This window comes from Homo sapiens, chromosome 17, assembly GCF_000001405.40.
Source record: "Homo sapiens chromosome 17, GRCh38.p14 Primary Assembly".
In the NCBI taxonomy this organism is placed as follows: Eukaryota; Metazoa; Chordata; class Mammalia; order Primates; family Hominidae; genus Homo; species Homo sapiens.
This window is the reverse complement of record NC_000017.11, coordinates 78,355,713-78,375,191: the sequence shown is the minus strand read 5'-3', so window position 1 is coordinate 78,375,191 and position 19,479 is coordinate 78,355,713. Positions and strand designations below refer to the sequence as shown.

Below are 19,479 nucleotides of genomic sequence, written 5' to 3'. Positions count from 1 at the left end.
GTCGCACTCGCTCCTTCCCAGACAGGAGGTGCCAGGGTTAGAAAGACAGGGTCGACGGGATTGACGGCAGATCCCATGTCTTCCCAAACGGAAAAGGAAACCCATTCATTGGAGGGAGAGTTGACGTCAAGGAGTGGTGGGCTGCTGCCCCTGAGAGTGGGGCAGCTCTCCCAGGCAGGAAACACCAGGAAATCCTGAGCCAACAGCCCATGCCTCACTGCCTGTGATTCACTCCCTCAACCGAAAATCACAGTAACACAAGAGGAAGGCCCCTCCTCCTCTAGCTTGCTTGCCTAGAGAGGGTCTCTCCCAAACACAGGGCTGTTAGCAAATTCCAAAGGGAGGAAGTGGCTGTCCGGCCCACCTTCTGCCTCCAGAGATGAGAAACTGTCCCGAGGGGCTGTTCAGCTGTTTGTGAGGAGCCTGTTCTTTGTTAAAAGGAATGCAGCCTGCTTGCTGGAGATGGGATGAAACTGTAACTGCCCAATGGGTTCACCTTGCCTGCTGCCCAGACAGAACTGATTTATCAAGACAGAGGCATTGCAATGGAGAAAGAGTGATTCACGCAGAGCCCACTGTGCGGGAGACCAGAGTTTTATTATTACTCAAATCAGTCTCCCCAAGCATTCGGGGATCAGAGTTTTTAAAGAGAATTTGGCTAGTAAAGGAGCTTGGGAAGTGGGGAGTGCTGATTGGTCAGGTTGGAGATGGAATCGTAGAAGGTTGAAGTGAATTTTTCTTGCTATCTTCTATTCCTGGGTGGGATGGCAGAACTGGTTGAGCCAGATAACCGGTCTGGGTGGTGTCAGCTGATCCATGAATGCAGAGTCTGCAAAATATCTCACGCACTGATCTGCGGTTTTCCAATAGTGATGTTATCCCCAGGAGCAATTTGGGGAGGTTCAGATTCTTGGAGCCAGAGGCTGCATGACCCTAAACTTTTATTTCTAATCTTATAGCTAATTTGTTAGTCCTGCAAAGGCCGACTGGACCCCAGGCAAGAAGGGGGTCTTTTCGGGAAAGGGCTGTTGTCAATTTTGTTTCAGAGTCAAACCATGAACTGAATTCCTTCCCAAAGTTAGTTCGGCCTACACCCAGGAATCCACAAGGACTGCTTAAAGGCTAGAAGCAAGATGGGGGCTGGGTGTAGTGGCTTACACCTGTAATCCCAGTACTTTGGGAGGCCGAGGTGGTTGGATCATGAGGTCAGTAGATCGAGACCATCCTGGCTAACACGGTGAAACCCCATCTCTACTAAAAATACAAAAAAATTAGCCAGGCGGGGTGGCACATGCCTGTAGTCCCAGCTACCCAGGAGGCTGAGGCAGGAGAATCGCTTGAACCCGGGAGGCGGAGGTTGGAGTGAGCCGAGATCACGCCACTGTACTCCAGCCTGGGCGACAGAGCTAGACTCCATCTCAAAAAAAAAAAAAGAAGATGGAGTTGATTAGGTCTGATTTCTTTTACTGTCATAATTTCCTCAGTTACAATTTTGCAAAGACGGTTTCAGAGCCCACCTGGGAGTGGCTGCCTCCCTCTCCCTCTATTCTTCCCCTTGGTCATATGTCCAGCCTCACTGGCCTGGCCTTCTCTCAAGCCCGCATCCTCCTCAGCATCTTTTTTGTTGTTGTTGTTGAGATAAAGTTTTGCCCTTGTCACCCAGGCTGGAGTGCAATGGCACAATCTCGGCTCACTGCAACCTCTGCCTCGGGGGTTCAAGCAATTCTCCTGCCTCAGCCTCCCTGAGTAGCTGGGATTACAGGTGCCTGCCACCACCCCCAGCTATTTTTTTCGTATTCTTAGTAGAGACAAGGTTTCACCATGTTGGCCAGGCTGGTCTCGAACTCCTGACCTTGCCAAACTACTGGGATTACAGGTGTGAGCCACCGCGCCCGGCCTTCCTCAGCATCTTTACATTTGCTCTTCCCTCTGCTCAGAAGCACCTTCCCTCAGCTCATCTCATCCTGAGCTCTGTCCAAATGTCACCCTCCCCTAGAAACAGCTTTCCAACCCGGATAACAGGATTTTAGTTTCTTCCTCTTCCTTACAGTGACCTAATCGTTTGCTGTTGTGTGTTTTGTCTCTGCCCCATCAGAAGGCGAGCTCATGAATCTTTGTGTGCTCTGAGCACTGTGAATAGGATCTGGCCCCAGAACCGGGCTCCAGTGCTGGAGTGAGGAATGCACACAGGGCCAAAGGCAGTGAGCTCTGGGGCCTCCCGGCTGGAACAGGGAACCACTGTGGTCTTGCTTTTCCACCAATGGTGGGGACAAGGGTGGCCTGGCCTCCTGGGAAGACCTCTAACCTACTGTTTGCTATCAGTTTGCAAGGCTGAAAGCTCAGTCCACCTTTTGGGCCTGGCTTCCCTGAGCCCCCAGTCTCCCCACAGGCCCCAGCCCTTTTCCTGTCTTCATCCCCCTCCAACACCTCCCCAAGTTCTACTCTCCCTGCTAAGCTGTTACTCTGATCTTTCCCAACAGTCCCTGATACTGTTCCCACCAACACTAAGCCTTAACTCCAGCTCTCCCTGGCACAAGACAGACTTCTTTTCCCTCCAAGCAGGGCTCAGCATACGTTTTGGTTTTGTTTTGTTTTTTTGGAGACAGAGTCTCGCCCTGTCACTCAAACTGGAATGCAATGGTGCAATCACAATCTCAGCTCACTGCAACCTCCGCCTCCTGGGTTCAAGCGATTCTCCTGCCTCAGCCTCCCGAGTAGCTGGGACTACAGGTGCCCGCTACCACGTTCGGCTAATTTTTTGTATTTTTAGTAGAGACAGTATTTCGCCACATGGACCAGGCTGGTCTTGATCTACTGACCTCAGGTGATCCACCCACCCCAGCCTCCCAAAGTGCTGGGATCACAGGCATGAGCCACCAAGCCCAGCCAAGTTTTGTTTTGTTTTTTGAGACAGTCTCACTCTATCACCCGGGCTGGAATGCAGTGGCGTGATCTCCGCTTACTGCAAACTCCACCCTGAGTTTAAGAGATTCTCGGCCAGGCATGGTGGTGGCGGTGGCTCACGCCTGTAATCCCAGGACTTTGGGAGGCTGAGGCGGGTGGATCACAAGGTCAGGAGATTGAGACCATCCTGGCTAACACGGTGAAACCCCATCTCTACTAAAAATAAAAATAATAAAAAAAATTAGCAGGGCGTGGTGGTGGGCGCCTGCAGTCCCAGCTGGAGTCTGAGGCAGGAGAATGGCGTGAACCCAGGCGGCGGAGCTTGCAGTGAGCCGAGATTGTGCCACTGCACTCCAGCCTGGGTGACAGAGCGAGAGTCCATCTCAAAAAAAAAAAAAAAAGAGAGATTCTCGTGCCTCAGCCTCCAGCGTAGCTGGGATTACAGGCATGGACCACCATGCCCAGCTAATTTTTTTGTATTTCTGTAGAGACAGGGTTTCTCCATATTGGCCAGGCTGGTCTCGAACCCCTGACTTCAAACAATCTGCCCACCTCAGCCTCCCAAAGCGCTGGGATTACAAGCATGAGCCACCGCGCCCGGCCAGCATATGTTTTCTTAAAGGGCAAATAGTAAATATTTTAGGCCAGGAGCAGTGGCTCCCGCCTGTAATCCCAACACTTTGGGAGGCCAAGTGGGAAGATGGCTTCAGACCAGGAGTTTGAGACCAGCCTGGACAACATAGTGAAACCCCATTTCTACAAAAAAAAATTTTTTTTAATGAACTCAGCCTGGTGGCTCATGCCTGTGGTCCCAGTTACTTGGGAGGCTGAGGTGGGAGGATCACTTGGGCCTGGGAGGTGGAGGCTGCAGTGAGCCGTGATCACACCACTACACTCCAGCCTAGGTGACAGAGTGACACCCTGTCTCAAAAAAGCCAAACAAACAAACAAAAAGCCCACACAAATAAATAAATAAATATGTTCTACTTTGTAGGCCAGATGGTCTCGGTGGCAACTACTCAACTCTGGTGTGAAAGCAGCCGCAGACAATTTGAATGAGCCTGGCTGTGATTCAATAAAACCTTATTTCCAAAAATCGTCCTCCAGCACGTGCCCCATAGTTTGCCAACTCCTGGGTTAGAAAAGTTTTCTGCTGTGCACAGTGGCACGTGCCTATAGTCTCAGCTACTCGGGAGGCTGAGGCAGGAGGATCACCTGAGCCCAGGAATTCCGGCTGCAGTGCACTATGCCAATCAGGTGTTCGCACTAAATTCAGCATCAATATGGTGGCCTCCACCAGGTTGCCCAAGGAGGGGTGAACCGGCCCAGGTGGGAAAAGGGACAGGTGAAAATTCTCATGCAGGTCAGTAACGAGATCGCGCCTGTGAATAGCCACTTGCACTCCAGCCTGAGTGACAGAGTGAGACGCTGTGTTTTTTCTTTCTTCTTTTTTTTCTTTTTGAGAGAGGGTCTCACTCAGTTGCCCAGACTGGAGTGCAGTGGAATGATCTTGGCTCACTGCAGCCCCCATCTCCTGGGCTCAAGCCATCCTCCCACCTTAGCCTTCCAAGTAGCTGGGACTACAAGTGCACACCACCACGCCAGGCTAATTTTTGTATTTTTTCTAGAGACAGACTTTTGCCATGTTGCCCAGGCTGGTCTTGAACTCCTGAGCTCAAGCGATCCACCCATCTTGGCCTCCCAAAGTGCTGGGATTACAGGCATGAGCCACTGCACCCAGCCTGAGACCCTGTACTTAAAAAAAGAAACAACGACAAAAAACAGCTTTCCCCACAGCCGTAGCCATGTACCTGGCATGGGCTCTGCTAGACCTGTGTGGCCCTAAAACTGGAAGAGATGAGGATTTCTGGGACTAGGGTCCTGAGCCTGTTGGAGCCGAGGGGAGGTGCAAAAGAGCCGAAAGTTGTGAGGAACAAATTTGACAAACACAGAAGCTCGAATCAGCAACCTCCCTGTGCAGGGGTGGGAGCCATTCAAAGCTCTTCCATTCATCATTTAAACTTTTCAGTGTCGAAAATCTTGTCATCTGCAAAACAAAACACCCATGCTCAATGGCTCCCTCGCCACAAAGAAGCCCAGGACGTTCTGGCATTTGATCAACAAGAAGCCAGAGCCCAGATTTCTGGAAATGCCTTTTGGGCAGAGCATCCTGGTTTGTTTCTCTGTCACCAGTGAGAGATAAAAGCAGCTCTAGGTTTCAGGGGAATCTCAGCCTTTTGTGGCATGGCGGGTCGCCAGCGCCACCCGAGCAAGGAGCTGCAGGCCTCGAGATCCAGCAGCCCACAGCGTGGGGAACCCAGTGATGTCCCAGGGAATCCCAGGGTCCCCCGCCCCGCAGCTTCTCCCTGCCCAGCCCCCACAGTGAAGTAGAGGAAGAGGCCAAGCATACCTGCTTAAGATGAGGTCCAAGAGGGAAGGGCCAGTGGGACAGGAAGAGCTGGACTCCTCCTCCTGGCCAGGCTTGATTTATTTCCAGTCTCCTCGAATTTAGGAAAGAGACTCAAAATAAATGCCCCAAAGTCCATAGCCTTCCTTGCCCTTTAGCTTGGGAGAGGCAGAGGTCAGGCTGAGTTGCTGCCTCAATGCCTGCAGACCCTGGCAGGGAAGGGAAGGAAGGGGAGGGTGGTCACCCTGGAGGGTGGGCCTGTGCTGACCTGGGGAGCCCATGCCCCACCTGAAGGGCCAACGGGAATGTGCCAGAACGTGGTCCACTGCTACCAGTGTCCTGTTTTTCCAAGGAAAGCTCCAGATTCAAATGTAGATGTGAAATTTCCAGATTTTTTTAATGTTATCTCAAAAATTGTTTTAATTCTGTATAGGCCACACAGCTACTGCGTCTACAGACTGCATTCAGCCGTGCACATGCCACCACTCTGCATCTTTTTTTTTTTTTTTTGGCTGCTTCTTGCAGAGCAGGGCTAATTCATAGGCATTGTGCCCACAGTAGCCTGCATCTTCTGGTCTATAAAAAAGAAAAGAAAAAAAAATGCCCCAGGTGGCACAGGAAGCCAGGGAATAGGAGGGGAAGACTCTGGCTCACCTGATTGCACCTTTTGAATGCTGACCTATGGGGCTGTCTTAGGTATTCACAAACTATGTTTTCAATTTGCAAAGTTCCACAAATGCCTGAACCACCTCCCACAGGTAGAATTAAATGGGTTCTTTTCTCTCTTTTTTTTTTTTTTTTTTTTTTGAGACAGTCTCACTCTGTCCCCCAGGCTGGAATGCAGTGGCACTATCTCAGCTCCGCTGCAGCCTCTGTCTCCCCGATTCAAGAGATTCTTCCACCTCAGCCTCCTGAGTAGCTGGGACTACAGGTGCGCGCCACCACTCCCGGCTAATTTTTGTATTTTTAGTAGAGAAGGGGTCTCACCATGTTGGCCAGGCTGGTCTTAAACTCCTGACCTCACGTGATCCACCTGCCTCGGCCTTTCAAAGTGCTGGGATTACAGGCGTGAGGCACTCCTCCTGGCGAAGTGGGGTCTTCTTAGCTCAGCTCACAGCCACTTCAGCTTGAGCTGGAAGCAGGGGGCTAAGGCCTTTGGGGAGTGAGAGGGAGAGTGAAGTAGAAGTGAATGGGAAAAGACAGTGGGCAGCAGAGGCCCGGGCATGTGGCACCAGGAGAATGCCTGTCCCACCAGCAGGCCCTCCCTGCCTCTGCCAGCTCTCCATCCTCCCCTCCCCTGTGTATGCCACCGAGTGGCCTGGAGGGAGGCCAGACGAGCCTGTGTGTGGGGAAAGCCTGGGAGTCTAGTCAACCAACCTGGGCACCAGCTGGAGCTCTGCCACGATCTGACTGGGAGACCTCGCACCAGGCAGGGACCTCTCTAGACCTCAGCTTCCCATCAGCCTACGTGTGTTACTTCTTCAGGGAATCCCCCTTGGTTGTCCCCCCAATAGATTAGGTCTCCCCATAATAGGCTCACATAGCTCCTGGGACTTCTTCATAGTATGCAGCACAGTCAAAATTAATCAATCCCGATATAATTCTGGAAGAATCTTGTCCTTCTGGAAAAACATCTAAGCTCCATGAGATCCGAGACTGATAAATTTCTGGCACCTAACTCAATCCCTGACACATAGCAGGTGCTCAATAAATATCTACTCAAGGCCAGGTGTAGTGGCTCATGCCTGTAATCCCAGCACTTTGGGAGGCTGAGGTGGATGGATCAGAAGGTCAGGAGGCTAGCCAATATGGTGAAACCCCGTCTCTACTAAAAAATACAAAAATTAGCCGGGCGTGGTGGCAGACGCCTGTAGTCCCAGCTACTCAGGAGGCTGAGGCAGGAGAATCACTTGAACCGGGAGGCAGAGGTTGCAGTGAGCCAAGATTGTGCCACTGCACTCCAGCCTGGGCGACAGAGCAAGACTCTGTCTCAAATAAATAAATAAATAAATAACTACTCAAGGAATAAATGGTAGTATAAAATAAGTGTTATGGCTGGGCACAGTGGCTCACGCCTGTGATCCCAGCATTTTGGGAGAGCGAGGCCAGTGGATTGCCTGAGCTCAGGAGTTCGAGACAAGTCTGGGCAACATGGCAAACACCGTCTCTACCTAAAAATACAAAAAATTAACCAGGCGTGGTGGTGTGCACCTGTAATCCCAGCTACTCAGCAGGCTGAGGCAGAAGAATCGCTTGAACCCCAGAGGCAAAGGTTGCAGTGAGCTGAGATTGCGCCCCTGCACTCCAGCCTGGGCAACAGATTGATACTGTGTCAAACAAAAAACAAGTGTTGCAGGGGCAAGAAGTGACTCCAGGCAGGTCCTGCAGCCCCCAGGGGCCTGACCCTCCACCAGCATTTTGTTTGCAATTATCGGGGGAGTGGCTGTTGGGGGAGTATGAAACCTGGGAAGGGGCAGTTCACATGCTCCAGGTTAAGAAACTCTGAACAACACCAGCCTAAGGCCCAGTGAGTACAGTGCCGGCAAGGGGGAGGGAGGAAGGAACACGTGGGGATAGCTGCCCCAGTTTCACCTTAGACGCCTTAGAGTCTCACCTTCTTGTCCTTGGTGGAGGCTCCAACCCCACTTCTTCTAGCCCACTTCTCTGCCTTCAAAGTTGGTTCAGGATCTTGGGAGCCAGAGAGAGGGTATTATTTTCTTTTTTTCTTTTGCTTTTACATTTTTCTTTTTTTTGAGACGGAGTTTTGCTCTTGTCGCCCAGGCTGGAGCGCAATGGCACAATCTCAGCTCACTGTAAATCTCCACCTCCCAGTTTGAAGCGATTCTCCTGCCTCAGTCTCCTGAGGGGCTAGGATTACAGGCATGCGCCACTGCGCCCAGCTAATTTTGTATTTTTAGTAGAGACAGGGTTTCACCATGTTGGCCAGGCTGGTCTGGAACTCCTGACCTCAGGTGATCCACCAGCCTTGGCCTCCCAAAGTGCTGGGATTACGGGCGTGAGCCACCACACCCAGCCTATCATTTTCTATTTGAACTTGCCCAAGAATCAGTGCACGGCACAGTGCATACCAGGGGTGCTTCACACTGCGGAGGAGGCAGGGACTTCCCAGAGGGTGAGAGGCTCAGAAGGAAGCCTGCGCCCGGGCTGCAGGAGCTTGACCAGAGGCTGCAGGCACACCATGGTCATGAGGAGCACCTGCCCCAGAGCCCCAGGAGAGTCAGGGCACCTGACCGTGACCACTTGGCTCCAGCAGCCAGCCCAACTGCAGTATTGCAGGGCGAGCCGAACAGCTGCACTCAGCTGGTCCCCCACCAGCTCCTGCCTCTCCAAGGGCGCCTGGGCCCAGGACATCCCAAGAGGCACGTCTCCCAGAGACAGCATGGCCTCCTCGCCCCCTCCCGGGCTCTCCCCGTCCTGGGCACTGCCTCGTCTGCATTGCCGCCCAGATGGTTCACCACAGCCTCACTTCCCAGAACTGCCCTGCTGCCCTGATGTCTGTTCCCGCAGCTGCTTCAGGGCAAATAAAAACTCTTCCCACCCCAGCCTCGGACAGAGCAGCATTTGTCGGTTTGGGGTCAGAGGAGATATTGGCTAGGAGCTAACTCCTCACTCCCCACCCTCCAACTCCAAACTTGTAGCAGATGTGGATTCCTTTTTGACAAAGTGGGAAGAAACTTTCCTCCTCTTCTCACTGCGCCCCCAACATTTCATCCTCTCTGCACCCTCCTAGAGTCACCCCCCACTTACCCACTCTCACCCTCTCAACACTTCCCAGGGCCCCTCTGTGGGTGGAGGAATGGGCCCCCCAGGGCAGGGGTCCTGGCACTCCGGCCCAGCCCAATCCCCAGAGGGAACGAGGAATCCGAGAAGGCGGGCAGTGGGTAGGTGGGTGGGTCCCTCAAGTGTTTTCTTTCCCCTCCCCTCCTCGAAGTTTTTCTGGGAAATGCCAGAGGCCGGCTGGGCCTGGAATGTCAGGCTTGAAAGAACTCCTCCACTGCCTCTTAGACATCGGAGCCACAAACCTTTTTATTAGCTCCGGGGGCCCTCCTGGCGGGAACAAAGGCCTGCAAACAGGAATGCCATTGTCCCTGCCTCCCTTGGCCCGCCCCTATGCGAAGCAGGAAAGAGAGGGCTCGGGGTCAACCTGGTCTGAGACCTGTGAACTCTTCCCCTGCTCCGGAAAGGTCATCTGGGCCATAGTCCTGCAGGCTGCAAGGTTAGTCCCACGGGCCATCCCAGTGGGTAAGAAAAGAAGCCAGGGCTGCAGCCGAGGAGGGCTGGGGTGCGGCAGAGCTGAGCACCCCAGGTAGCCCAGCCCTAGGTTCCAGGCCTCAGCCCTGGGAGAGCCACACTGGAGCAGCAGGCAGGGCTTCCAGGAGGTCAGATGAGAGACAGGTCCCCCACCATCTCCTCCAAATTGGCCAAGAGAAAGGGGGACAGAAAAGAAGAGGCCTCCCTGCCTCCTCCCCTTGCCTCTAGACACCAACGCCGGACCTGAAGCTCTAGAAGGGAGGGAAGCTGATTGATTTCCCCACCGTGTATCCCCAGGTGTGGCAGGCTAGCTCACAGGCAGAAGACGCACAGTCAACGGCAGGCACTGGGCAGTCCAGCCCCAGCTGCCTCCTTGCGCTGTAGAATGCCCAGCAGTGTTAAAGACGGGGAGGCCTTGGGTTTGGCATTTAGCAACGCTGTGGTCTGAGGCCGGCATCCCGACCCGTCTACTGCAGATGCAGCCACCAACAATGGCAACCTCAGCATCCGCCCCCGGGTCGGCGAGCCTGTGTTCACCAAGCCATGCCACGGCTTCCCGCGACCACCCCGCGGCGCCAGGTTTCCTTCCCATCCATGAGATTTGGGGAAGGGCTCAGCATCTGTCACACACCATGAGTAAGTGGAGCCCTACAGGCAGCTGAAACCACTGTGTACTTCCCCTCCATCATGAATGAATATCTTTATTATCTTTATGACCAAGCACCTTTGCCTGGAAATGGGATTGTGACTTCGCAGAAATTCTGCAAAGGGAGAGATTAGGAAAAGGCAAAAGTCTCCTAAATCCCTTAGACGGGAAATCAGGAGGGCAGAGCAGAGGGGCCAGATCTCCCCTCGACCCCCCCAGCAGAGGGAAGATAAGAGCAAGCAAGCCTGCGACTCTCTGGCTCTGGCTTCTCTCAGCCGGGGTCCCTGCCTGGAAGCAGCTCTGGAGCGTACCCTGTAAAGGCCCAGGTGTCTCCACCCACATTTTCAGAAACGTTTTCGTCTTCATTCCTTTGTCTTCAGATTAACAGGCCTCTAATCTCCAGCGAGCCATGGATGGGGCTTCCCAGCACTCACACCCTCTATCCCATCTGTATAGCTCCTGAGCCCTGCATGGAAAACCAAAAAGTACTCTAGAAGAAAGCAGGTTGTGGTCTCTAAAAACAATGGAAAGAAGTCAACATCATCCTTGACTTAGAGATTCATTCTACGTACCAGGTTCCAGTCTTAAAAAGAAAAAAAAATCAAATATAGTCTGTTTCCCCAAGATCCTCACTGGAGATATAGTCAGAACATTTTGGTTAATGCAAAAAGAGCTACCTGGAAGTTTAGAGTGTCTGCCTTTTTCCGTCTTTTTTTTGGAGACAGAGTCTCACTCTGTCTTCCAGGCTGGAATGCTGCGGCACAATCATAGCTCACCGCAGGCTCTACCTGCTGGGCTCAAGCGATCCTCCCACCTCAGCCTCCTGAGTAGCTGGGACCACAGGCGCGCACCACCATGCCCGGCTAATTTTTAAAATTTTTTGTAGAGATGGAGTCTCCACTATGTTGCCCAAGCTGGTCTCAAACTCCTGAGCTCAAGCAATCCTCCCACCTCGGCCTCCCAAAGTGCTGGGATTACTGGCACGTGCCACCACGCCCAGCCCGTCTGCCAAATTTTAAAGGAAAAGTAGAAATCAGCCAAGGTGTGGAAGGTAGTTCCCTCCTTGTCCCCAGACAGGGAAGCAAATGTGCAGAAACCCAGGACTGAGGAACGTTACCTTCTGGACAGCTTGGAGCTCCATGTAGCTAGAGCACGAGGCACCAGTCGCTGAGGCAGTGGCAGCCGATGAAACTGACATGGAGCAGCGTGGGACACACACTGCACCGAGGAGTCTGGATTCATCCAGAAAGTGATGGGAAACCATGGGAGAGATTAGAATGCCAAAGGGAAGGCCAGGCACGATGGCTCATGCCCGTAATCCCAGCACTTTGGGAGGCCAAGGCAGGCGGATCACCTGAGGTCAGGAGTTCGAGACCAGCCTGGCCAACATAGCGAAACCCTGTCTCTACTAAAAATACAAAAAAATTAGCCAGGCATGGTGGCACATGCCTGTAATCCCAAGTACTCGGGAGACTGAGGCAAGAGAATCACTTAAACCTGGGAGGCGGAGGTTGCAGTGAGCCGAGATGGCACCACTGCACTCCAGCCTGGGTGACAGGTGGGACTCCGTCTCAAAAAAAAAAAAAAGAAGCTTGGTGGCTGGCTGACCTGTTTCAAGACAAGCAGCTTTTTGGAATGTATCTTCCATAGGAGATGTACGGTTCCCCAAAACAAGGCAGCTTACATCCATAGCCAACCCTATGAGCCCAAGCTGCAGCAGCTCAGCTCACTCCTCCCTCTCCTCAAAGCCTCCCCAGTGCTTTCAAAATCATGACAGTTAATATGCATTGAGCACTTCCTATGTGCAAGGCACCACTCTAAGCATTTTGCATGTGGGAGCTCCAGACAACTCAGTGAGGTAGGTACTACTCTCCAACCATTTTACAAATAAGGAAACCGAGGCACAGCTGGTAAGGCAGATTGCCTAAAGTCACACAGCTACTGGGTGATAGAGCCCGAACAGCAGTTGGATCTCCTGCTGAGATGAGCAGGCAGGGAGCCCCGCACCTCCCACCTCACTCATCACCTGGGGGCTCCATGCCGATTGCCTTGGCCATCTCCCCCTGCAGGATTCACCCAGCACTTCTGTCTTCCAGCACTTCGCCCTGTGCCTGGCAAAAGCAGGCTCTCGGCAGAGGTTTATGGAATGGATGAATGAACTTGACTTGTGTCAGAGCATTGTAATTTACAAAGCACTTTCTCATCCATTACCTCAAGGGCTATTCCTTGAGTCTTCTTTGTCTTCCACTGGGCTCTACCCAGAAGTGTATGGTCATGCAGCCACGTAACACTGAATGGATGAGAAAAAGAATGAACTGATTACAGAGAGAAGGAGAATCCATTTCATTACCCTGCAAGCATTGTGAGGGCAAAGACCAGGTCCTACTCATCATTATATATCAATGCCCAGCCCAGTGCCTGGTGCATGGAGCTCAATATTTGTGAAATGTGTTGAATAAACCAGTTTCCTCCTCTGCTCTCCTGATAGGCTGGAGGGAGAGTTGAACTAACTGGGTTACTTCTATTTCTATCACGCTTTGATGTGCAGAATCTTTTTTTTTTTTTAATTTCAAATCTCTTATGGCAAAAGGTTCTTTTTCTTTCTTCCTTTTCTTTTCTTTCTTTCTTTCTTTTTTTTTTTTTTTTTTTTTTTGAGACAGAGCTCTGTCGCCAGGTTGGAGTGCAATGGCGCGATCTCGGCTCACCACAACCTCTGACTCCCTGGTTCAAGCGATTCTCCTGCCTCAGCCTCTCAAGTAGCTGGGATTACAAGCATGTGCCACCACACTCAGCTAATTTTTGTATTTTTAGTAGAGACGAGGTTTCACCATGTTGGCCAGGATGGTCTCGATCTCCTGACCTCGTGATCCACCCGCCTCAGCCTCCCAAAGTGCTGGGATTACAGGCATGAGCCACCATGCCCGGCCCTTTTTATTTCATTTTATTATTATTTTTTTTAACAGGGTCTCACTCTGTTGCCCAGACTAAAGTGCAGTGGCACGATCATGGCTCACCGCAGCCTTGACCTCCCTGACTCAAGCGATCCTTCCACCTTGGCCTCCCAAGCAGCTGGGACTACAGGCACAGGCCACCACTCCTGGCTAACTTTTTTCTATTTTTTGCAGAGATGGGGGTGCTCACTTTGCTGCCCAGGCTGGTCTTGAATGTCCATGCTCAAGTGATCCTCTCGCCTCCGCCTGCCAAAGGGAAGGAAAAGGTTCTGGCTCCAGTTTTACAGGTGGCAAAACGGAAGCCCAGAGAAACTGTGTGTCTTGTCCAAATCTCACTGAGTCCCCAGCACATGCTGGGGAGAGGTGATGGCACGGACTGAGGATACAGTGGCAAAGGCAGTGCGCACCTATCAATTCCAGGGCCGGCAAAAGGGCCAGTTCTGGGTTCTGGCATCCCAAGCTCCCTGTCCCTGGCGGCAGTCTCTTCCTTCCCTTTCAGCACCTCATTATCCTGGTATCTAGGAAGAGCGCAGGGCCCCAGGCCCACAGCGTCTGCATCCCGAGAGGTGAAAATCTAAATGCCACTGAGGCAGCTCTCGGGTGTCCCCAGCACCACACAGCCCATTTGGGGACAAGATGACAAAACTTGCCATCCTTCATAAGGCTGGCCCCGGGTCTCCAAGCCCAAACTATCTACGTCAGTGCCAACGTGACCAGCAGCAAACCAATCTTTCACCTCAATCACTTCCTCTCCTCCCCTCTACCCCCTCCCCGCCAGTGATCAAGTCCTCCCCCACCCCAAGAGAGGCAGGGGGTCACATTCCAGGGGGTGTGGGCCATCTGGCAGTAGCCTGAACCCCGGAAAACTGCTTTCCGGAAATTCTCTCCTGCTAGAATTTTATTCCCAGGTCTGACCCCAGCCTGGGGTGTGAATGCCCCCTTCTCGGCCACCTTTCCAGCTCCGGAGACAGCCATTCCCGCAGATCCCTGGCGTGCCTATTCCAAGGCCTGGGCCGCGCAGCACCAAACTGCCCTCCCCTAGGAGACCCCAGGGCGCCCTCTGGCGGACGCGGGCCGTAGGTTGGGGCCATCGTTCCACCTCGAGCTCTCCAGCCCGGCCGAGAGCACCTGGCCCAACCCACACCGGACCAACCAGGTTTGCAGACCCCAGTGCATGAAAGCGTTTTCATAGGGGAGGGGAGGGGGGCTCCACACTCGCGTCAGGGTTGGCAAAGAACCTGGCAGTGGGCCGAGGCTGGGTAGCTGCCACGAAGGGGCGTCCCCTGCAGCCCTGGGTCTCCCCTCTGGAATCTGCCCGCAGGTGACTGTCGCACGTCTCCAACCTCCGGCTCCCGGGTCTGACCCCAGCCCCGCTGCCTGGCTGTGGGGTAGCCCCACTTCCCTTTCGGCTGGCCCGGGCCGCCTGACCCGCAGTTGGGCCCTCGGGGAGGCCCGGGTGGCGGCGAGGGGGTGTCCCCGCGGGGTCCGGGAAAAGGGGAAGGGGAACCGGGAGGCTCTCCAGGTCGGCCTCCTAGAACTGCCCGCTCTCCCGAAGCGGCGCCCCCGCCTCTGCCAGAAATCAGCCTTCTTAGAAGGGAGGGGGGTGGGGGGAAAGTGTGAATGAGAAGTTGGGGGCGGAGCGCGCGGCGGGGAGGGGCCGCTGCCAGGAACGCGCCGCCGGGGCTGGCGCCGCGCCCACCGGCCGCCTCGGCCGCCTCTCGTCGCGCTTTGTCTCCGCGCGCGTCCCTCCCGGTCCCTGCCCCTGCTCGCGGCCCGCCCTCGGCGCCCGCGGCCCCTCCCTCACCCTCCGCGCTCAGCCTTTCTCTGCTGCGAGTAGTGACTAAACATTACAAGAAGGCCGGCCGCGCAGTTCCAGGAATCGGGGGGCGGGGCGCGGCGGCCGCCTATATACCCGCGAGCGCGGCCTCCGCGGCGGCTCCGACTTGGACTCCCTGCTCCGCTGCTGCCGCTTCGGCCCCGCACGCAGCCAGCCGCCAGCCGCCCGCCCGGCCCAGCTCCCGCCGCGGCCCCTTGCCGCGGTCCCTCTCCTGGTCCCCTCCCGGTTGGTCCGGGGGTGCGCAGGGGGCAGGGCGGGCGCCCAGGGGAAGCTCGAGGGACGCGCGCGCGAAGGCTCCTTTGTGGACTTCACGGCCGCCAACATCTGGGCGCAGCGCGGGCCACCGCTGGCCGTCTCGCCGCCGCGTCGCCTTGGGGACCCGAGGGGGCTCAGCCCCAAGGACGGAGACTTCGATTCGGGACCAGGTAGGAAGGAGGAGCGCGGCGTGGGGAGGGGTCTCGCTCAGTCCCGGGAGCTTTTCCCGGTTTCCCCTCCCCTTCCCGGGTCATTCCCGGCAGGGAGGTGACGAGGTAGGGGCAGAGCGGATGGAAGCCGGAGATCCCAGGTTCCCGGAATACTCCGGCTGGGGCCTTCGGGCTTCTCCTGTCCCCTCCCTACCCCCGTGCCTCGGGTTTCTCCCTCCGTCCACACCGCCCGGGGCTACTGGACTGAGCGGCGCCCAGGCAGTCCCGGGGGCCCTTCTCCTGCTCCCCACCCGGCCACACTCCTGGAGACCTAACTTCCGCGCGCGAGTTTCCCACGCTGCGCCCTTGCAGTGCGCGCCTGGGAAGGGGCTGCCCGGGGCCACCCTGCCGGCAGGGGCGGGAGCCGTGCGGGCTCCGTGAGGCGCCTGGATCGGAGCGCGGGCCCAGGAGAGGGCCCCCGGGGCAGTGGGTGCCCCAGTCGCTCGGCGAAGGCAGGGGAGCCGGGGCGGGCCGGGCGCGCTGGAGGGTTCCGGGCACTCAACGCGCTCGCGCCTTCCTCTCCGCAGCCCCCCGGGATGCGGTAGCGGCCGCTGTGCGGAGGCCGCGAAGCAGCTGCAGCCGCCGCCGCGCAGATCCACGCTGGCTCCGTGCGCCATGGTCACCCACAGCAAGTTTCCCGCCGCCGGGATGAGCCGCCCCCTGGACACCAGCCTGCGCCTCAAGACCTTCAGCTCCAAGAGCGAGTACCAGCTGGTGGTGAACGCAGTGCGCAAGCTGCAGGAGAGCGGCTTCTACTGGAGCGCAGTGACCGGCGGCGAGGCGAACCTGCTGCTCAGTGCCGAGCCCGCCGGCACCTTTCTGATCCGCGACAGCTCGGACCAGCGCCACTTCTTCACGCTCAGCGTCAAGACCCAGTCTGGGACCAAGAACCTGCGCATCCAGTGTGAGGGGGGCAGCTTCTCTCTGCAGAGCGATCCCCGGAGCACGCAGCCCGTGCCCCGCTTCGACTGCGTGCTCAAGCTGGTGCACCACTACATGCCGCCCCCTGGAGCCCCCTCCTTCCCCTCGCCACCTACTGAACCCTCCTCCGAGGTGCCCGAGCAGCCGTCTGCCCAGCCACTCCCTGGGAGTCCCCCCAGAAGAGCCTATTACATCTACTCCGGGGGCGAGAAGATCCCCCTGGTGTTGAGCCGGCCCCTCTCCTCCAACGTGGCCACTCTTCAGCATCTCTGTCGGAAGACCGTCAACGGCCACCTGGACTCCTATGAGAAAGTCACCCAGCTGCCGGGGCCCATTCGGGAGTTCCTGGACCAGTACGATGCCCCGCTTTAAGGGGTAAAGGGCGCAAAGGGCATGGGTCGGGAGAGGGGACGCAGGCCCCTCTCCTCCGTGGCACATGGCACAAGCACAAGAAGCCAACCAGGAGAGAGTCCTGTAGCTCTGGGGGGAAAGAGGGCGGACAGGCCCCTCCCTCTGCCCTCTCCCTGCAGAATGTGGCAGGCGGACCTGGAATGTGTTGGAGGGAAGGGGGAGTACCACCTGAGTCTCCAGCTTCTCCGGAGGAGCCAGCTGTCCTGGTGGGACGATAGCAACCACAAGTGGATTCTCCTTCAATTCCTCAGCTTCCCCTCTGCCTCCAAACAGGGGACACTTCGGGAATGCTGAACTAATGAGAACTGCCAGGGAATCTTCAAACTTTCCAACGGAACTTGTTTGCTCTTTGATTTGGTTTAAACCTGAGCTGGTTGTGGAGCCTGGGAAAGGTGGAAGAGAGAGAGGTCCTGAGGGCCCCAGGGCTGCGGGCTGGCGAAGGAAATGGTCACACCCCCCGCCCACCCCAGGCGAGGATCCTGGTGACATGCTCCTCTCCCTGGCTCCGGGGAGAAGGGCTTGGGGTGACCTGAAGGGAACCATCCTGGTACCCCACATCCTCTCCTCCGGGACAGTCACCGAAAACACAGGTTCCAAAGTCTACCTGGTGCCTGAGAGCCCAGGGCCCTTCCTCCGTTTTAAGGGGGAAGCAACATTTGGAGGGGATGGATGGGCTGGTCAGCTGGTCTCCTTTTCCTACTCATACTATACCTTCCTGTACCTGGGTGGATGGAGCGGGAGGATGGAGGAGACGGGACATCTTTCACCTCAGGCTCCTGGTAGAGAAGACAGGGGATTCTACTCTGTGCCTCCTGACTATGTCTGGCTAAGAGATTCGCCTTAAATGCTCCCTGTCCCATGGAGAGGGACCCAGCATAGGAAAGCCACATACTCAGCCTGGATGGGTGGAGAGGCTGAGGGACTCACTGGAGGGCACCAAGCCAGCCCACAGCCAGGGAAGTGGGGAGGGGGGGCGGAAACCCATGCCTCCCAGCTGAGCACTGGGAATGTCAGCCCAGTAAGTATTGGCCAGTCAGGCGCCTCGTGGTCAGAGCAGAGCCACCAGGTCCCACTGCCCCGAGCCCTGCACAGCCCTCCCTCCTGCCTGGGTGGGGGAGGCTGGAGGTCATTGGAGAGGCTGGACTGCTGCCACCCCGGGTGCTCCCGCTCTGCCATAGCACTGATCAGTGACAATTTACAGGAATGTAGCAGCGATGGAATTACCTGGAACAGTTTTTTGTTTTTGTTTTTGTTTTTGTTTTTGTGGGGGGGGGCAACTAAACAAACACAAAGTATTCTGTGTCAGGTATTGGGCTGGACAGGGCAGTTGTGTGTTGGGGTGGTTTTTTTCTCTATTTTTTTGTTTGTTTCTTGTTTTTTAATAATGTTTACAATCTGCCTCAATCACTCTGTCTTTTATAAAGATTCCACCTCCAGTCCTCTCTCCTCCCCCCTACTCAGGCCCTTGAGGCTATTAGGAGATGCTTGAAGAACTCAACAAAATCCCAATCCAAGTCAAACTTTGCACATATTTATATTTATATTCAGAAAAGAAACATTTCAGTAATTTATAATAAAGAGCACTATTTTTTAATGAAAAACATGACTTGAGCCTTTTCTGCACCCCTGCCCCCCCGCCCCCCGCCCCGTGCCTTGCTTTCTCTTTCACCCACACCCACACTCTGCATCGGAGAGGAGGAAGAGAGCCGCAGAGGGTGGAATCGAATACGTCTCAGCCTTACGTCAGCACGCCTGCCTCGTGTGTCACTGACAAGCTAAGGCAGCCACCTAGACTTACCGAGAGGGGTAATTCCTGCAAGTCTGATTCAGATCTGACCAGAATATGCAAAGCAAGTTCGAAGGAAGCGCTTCAAAGGGCTTGCAGGGAGCAAGCTGAGCTGTGGTCAAAGCTTTTAGAGGCTCCAGGCTATTAGAGGCGCTCTGGTTCCTTGGCAGGGAGTCGTTCCGAGAAAGCCCAGACATGGGGTCCTAGTGGTGACCTATGACCTCAGTCTAGCCAGGTTCACTGGAAGTGGGGGGAGGGGTGGTCCTGAAGCAAATCTTGCATGCAGGTGGAGCCCCACCCCCTCCCCCACCACAGGACCCCAGGCATTCAGGGGCTTCCTGGCCACTGCTCCCCATGCCTGCTTCCCTTCCCCGTTCCTAGGGGCCCCAACCTGAGCAGCGGACAGGATCACCCTCCTCCCAAAAAGCACCCATCTATTCATCTCTCTCTTTTTTTGAAACAGGGTTCGCTATGTTGCCCAGGCTGGTCTCCAGCTCCCGGGCTGAAGGTATCCTCCCCTCAGCCCATCTATTTTTAGTCACTCTCATTTAAACACTAAGGGGCACTTAGAGGTTACCTGGATTAAGCATCCCACCTGCTCCCACAAGGCAGGCATTCTCATCCCCATGTTCTCAGACATGGCCACGTGCCCCATGTGAGCCAGGACTTGGACTGGTCACTTCTGGTGCCTAGATTGGTGCTCAGTAAATATTTGTCAACTAAGTAGGGGCAGCAACTCAGGTTCAGGGAGGTTAAGCAACCTGGCCAAGGGCACACCACTTGGGAATATGGGGAAAACAGGATTGGAACCCAGGAGCATTTGATTTCCAAAGCCCATGCCTCTCTGCCTCTCTATACACTCAGCATATACCTGCCCCCG

General features: G+C 55.3%; 1 protein-coding gene, 1 long non-coding RNA gene and 1 pseudogene across 6 annotated transcripts, besides 16 other annotated features; 2 read left to right on the top strand and 1 right to left on the bottom strand.

Annotated features, from left to right (window-relative positions):
• Positions 1-1,282: 1,282 nt before the first annotated feature.
• SOCS3-DT (SOCS3 divergent transcript) lies at positions 1,283-14,744 on the bottom strand. 3 transcript variants are annotated; one of them, NR_110847.1, is made up of 5 exons: positions 14,419-14,744; positions 12,441-12,519; positions 7,926-7,999; positions 6,299-6,464; positions 1,283-1,417 (listed from the first exon to the last, which is right to left on the bottom strand). It is a non-coding gene; the product is annotated as an SOCS3 divergent transcript (long non-coding RNA). The 3 variants fall into 3 exon arrangements; NR_110845.1 differs by lacking the exons at positions 1,283-1,417; positions 6,299-6,464; positions 7,926-7,999 and adding exons at positions 10,261-10,695; positions 13,371-13,426; NR_110846.1 differs by lacking the exons at positions 1,283-1,417; positions 6,299-6,464; positions 7,926-7,999; positions 14,419-14,744 and adding exons at positions 10,261-10,695; positions 14,132-14,190.
• Positions 2,279-2,846: an enhancer, noted in NCBI's record as "H3K27ac-H3K4me1 hESC enhancer chr17:76368427-76368994 (GRCh37/hg19 assembly coordinates)". NCBI's record gives its function as "activates a minimal SCP1, AML or CMV promoter by ChIP-STARR-seq in primed H9 embryonic stem cells {active_cell/tissue: H9 hESC(primed)}" and the evidence as "EXISTENCE:reporter gene assay evidence [ECO:0000049][PMID:30033119]".
• Positions 2,847-3,414: an enhancer, noted in NCBI's record as "H3K27ac-H3K4me1 hESC enhancer chr17:76367859-76368426 (GRCh37/hg19 assembly coordinates)". NCBI's record gives its function as "activates a minimal SCP1, AML or CMV promoter by ChIP-STARR-seq in primed H9 embryonic stem cells {active_cell/tissue: H9 hESC(primed)}" and the evidence as "EXISTENCE:reporter gene assay evidence [ECO:0000049][PMID:30033119]".
• Positions 4,057-4,340, top strand: RN7SL236P (RNA, 7SL, cytoplasmic 236, pseudogene; annotated as a pseudogene).
• Positions 8,777-8,866: an enhancer, noted in NCBI's record as "active region_12892". NCBI's record gives its function as "activates an Ori minimal core promoter by ATAC-STARR-seq in GM12878 lymphoblastoid cells {active_cell/tissue: GM12878}" and the evidence as "EXISTENCE:reporter gene assay evidence [ECO:0000049][PMID:35858748]".
• Positions 8,867-9,444: an enhancer, noted in NCBI's record as "NANOG-H3K27ac-H3K4me1 hESC enhancer chr17:76361829-76362406 (GRCh37/hg19 assembly coordinates)". NCBI's record gives its function as "activates a minimal SCP1, AML or CMV promoter by ChIP-STARR-seq in naive H9 embryonic stem cells {active_cell/tissue: H9 hESC(naive)}" and the evidence as "EXISTENCE:reporter gene assay evidence [ECO:0000049][PMID:30033119]".
• Positions 9,445-10,020: an enhancer, noted in NCBI's record as "NANOG-H3K27ac-H3K4me1 hESC enhancer chr17:76361253-76361828 (GRCh37/hg19 assembly coordinates)". NCBI's record gives its function as "activates a minimal SCP1, AML or CMV promoter by ChIP-STARR-seq in naive H9 embryonic stem cells {active_cell/tissue: H9 hESC(naive)}" and the evidence as "EXISTENCE:reporter gene assay evidence [ECO:0000049][PMID:30033119]".
• Positions 11,176-11,753: an enhancer, noted in NCBI's record as "H3K4me1 hESC enhancer chr17:76359520-76360097 (GRCh37/hg19 assembly coordinates)". NCBI's record gives its function as "activates a minimal SCP1, AML or CMV promoter by ChIP-STARR-seq in naive and primed H9 embryonic stem cells {active_cell/tissue: H9 hESC(naive and primed)}" and the evidence as "EXISTENCE:reporter gene assay evidence [ECO:0000049][PMID:30033119]".
• Positions 14,214-14,263: a silencer, noted in NCBI's record as "silent region_9067". NCBI's record gives its function as "represses an Ori minimal core promoter by ATAC-STARR-seq in GM12878 lymphoblastoid cells {active_cell/tissue: GM12878}" and the evidence as "EXISTENCE:reporter gene assay evidence [ECO:0000049][PMID:35858748]".
• On the top strand, positions 14,267-18,414 carry SOCS3 (suppressor of cytokine signaling 3). Of its 3 annotated transcripts, none has more exons than NM_001378933.1 (2): positions 14,267-14,336; positions 16,009-18,414. In NM_001378933.1, the coding sequence occupies exon 2, from the start codon at positions 16,097-16,099 to the stop codon at positions 16,772-16,774; it is 678 nt and encodes a 225-aa protein (NP_001365862.1). In that variant the 5' UTR covers positions 14,267-14,336; positions 16,009-16,096; the 3' UTR covers positions 16,775-18,414. The 3 variants fall into 3 exon arrangements, with proteins under 3 accessions (NP_001365862.1, NP_003946.3, NP_001365861.1); NM_003955.5 differs by lacking the exon at positions 14,267-14,336 and adding an exon at positions 15,115-15,442; NM_001378932.1 differs by lacking the exon at positions 14,267-14,336 and adding an exon at positions 15,525-15,547.
• Positions 14,494-14,693: a silencer, noted in NCBI's record as "silent region_9066". NCBI's record gives its function as "represses an Ori minimal core promoter by ATAC-STARR-seq in GM12878 lymphoblastoid cells {active_cell/tissue: GM12878}" and the evidence as "EXISTENCE:reporter gene assay evidence [ECO:0000049][PMID:35858748]".
• Positions 14,754-15,063: a silencer, noted in NCBI's record as "silent region_9065". NCBI's record gives its function as "represses an Ori minimal core promoter by ATAC-STARR-seq in GM12878 lymphoblastoid cells {active_cell/tissue: GM12878}" and the evidence as "EXISTENCE:reporter gene assay evidence [ECO:0000049][PMID:35858748]".
• Positions 15,074-15,353: a silencer, noted in NCBI's record as "silent region_9064". NCBI's record gives its function as "represses an Ori minimal core promoter by ATAC-STARR-seq in GM12878 lymphoblastoid cells {active_cell/tissue: GM12878}" and the evidence as "EXISTENCE:reporter gene assay evidence [ECO:0000049][PMID:35858748]".
• Positions 15,074-15,759: a biological region, named in NCBI's record as "H3K27ac hESC enhancer GRCh37_chr17:76355514-76356162".
• Positions 15,111-15,759: an enhancer, noted in NCBI's record as "H3K27ac hESC enhancer chr17:76355514-76356162 (GRCh37/hg19 assembly coordinates)". NCBI's record gives its function as "activates a minimal SCP1, AML or CMV promoter by ChIP-STARR-seq in naive H9 embryonic stem cells {active_cell/tissue: H9 hESC(naive)}" and the evidence as "EXISTENCE:reporter gene assay evidence [ECO:0000049][PMID:30033119]".
• Positions 15,764-16,003: a silencer, noted in NCBI's record as "silent region_9063". NCBI's record gives its function as "represses an Ori minimal core promoter by ATAC-STARR-seq in GM12878 lymphoblastoid cells {active_cell/tissue: GM12878}" and the evidence as "EXISTENCE:reporter gene assay evidence [ECO:0000049][PMID:35858748]".
• Positions 17,706-18,355: an enhancer, noted in NCBI's record as "H3K4me1 hESC enhancer chr17:76352918-76353567 (GRCh37/hg19 assembly coordinates)". NCBI's record gives its function as "activates a minimal SCP1, AML or CMV promoter by ChIP-STARR-seq in naive H9 embryonic stem cells {active_cell/tissue: H9 hESC(naive)}" and the evidence as "EXISTENCE:reporter gene assay evidence [ECO:0000049][PMID:30033119]".
• Positions 18,413-18,912: an enhancer, noted in NCBI's record as "NANOG-H3K4me1 hESC enhancer chr17:76352361-76352860 (GRCh37/hg19 assembly coordinates)". NCBI's record gives its function as "activates a minimal SCP1, AML or CMV promoter by ChIP-STARR-seq in naive H9 embryonic stem cells {active_cell/tissue: H9 hESC(naive)}" and the evidence as "EXISTENCE:reporter gene assay evidence [ECO:0000049][PMID:30033119]".
• Positions 18,491-18,678: a silencer, noted in NCBI's record as "fragment chr17:76352595-76352782 (GRCh37/hg19 assembly coordinates)". NCBI's record gives its function as "represses an EF-1alpha promoter that drives an FKBP-Casp9 reporter gene in an ReSE screen in HepG2 liver carcinoma cells {active_cell/tissue: HepG2}" and the evidence as "EXISTENCE:reporter gene assay evidence [ECO:0000049][PMID:32094911]".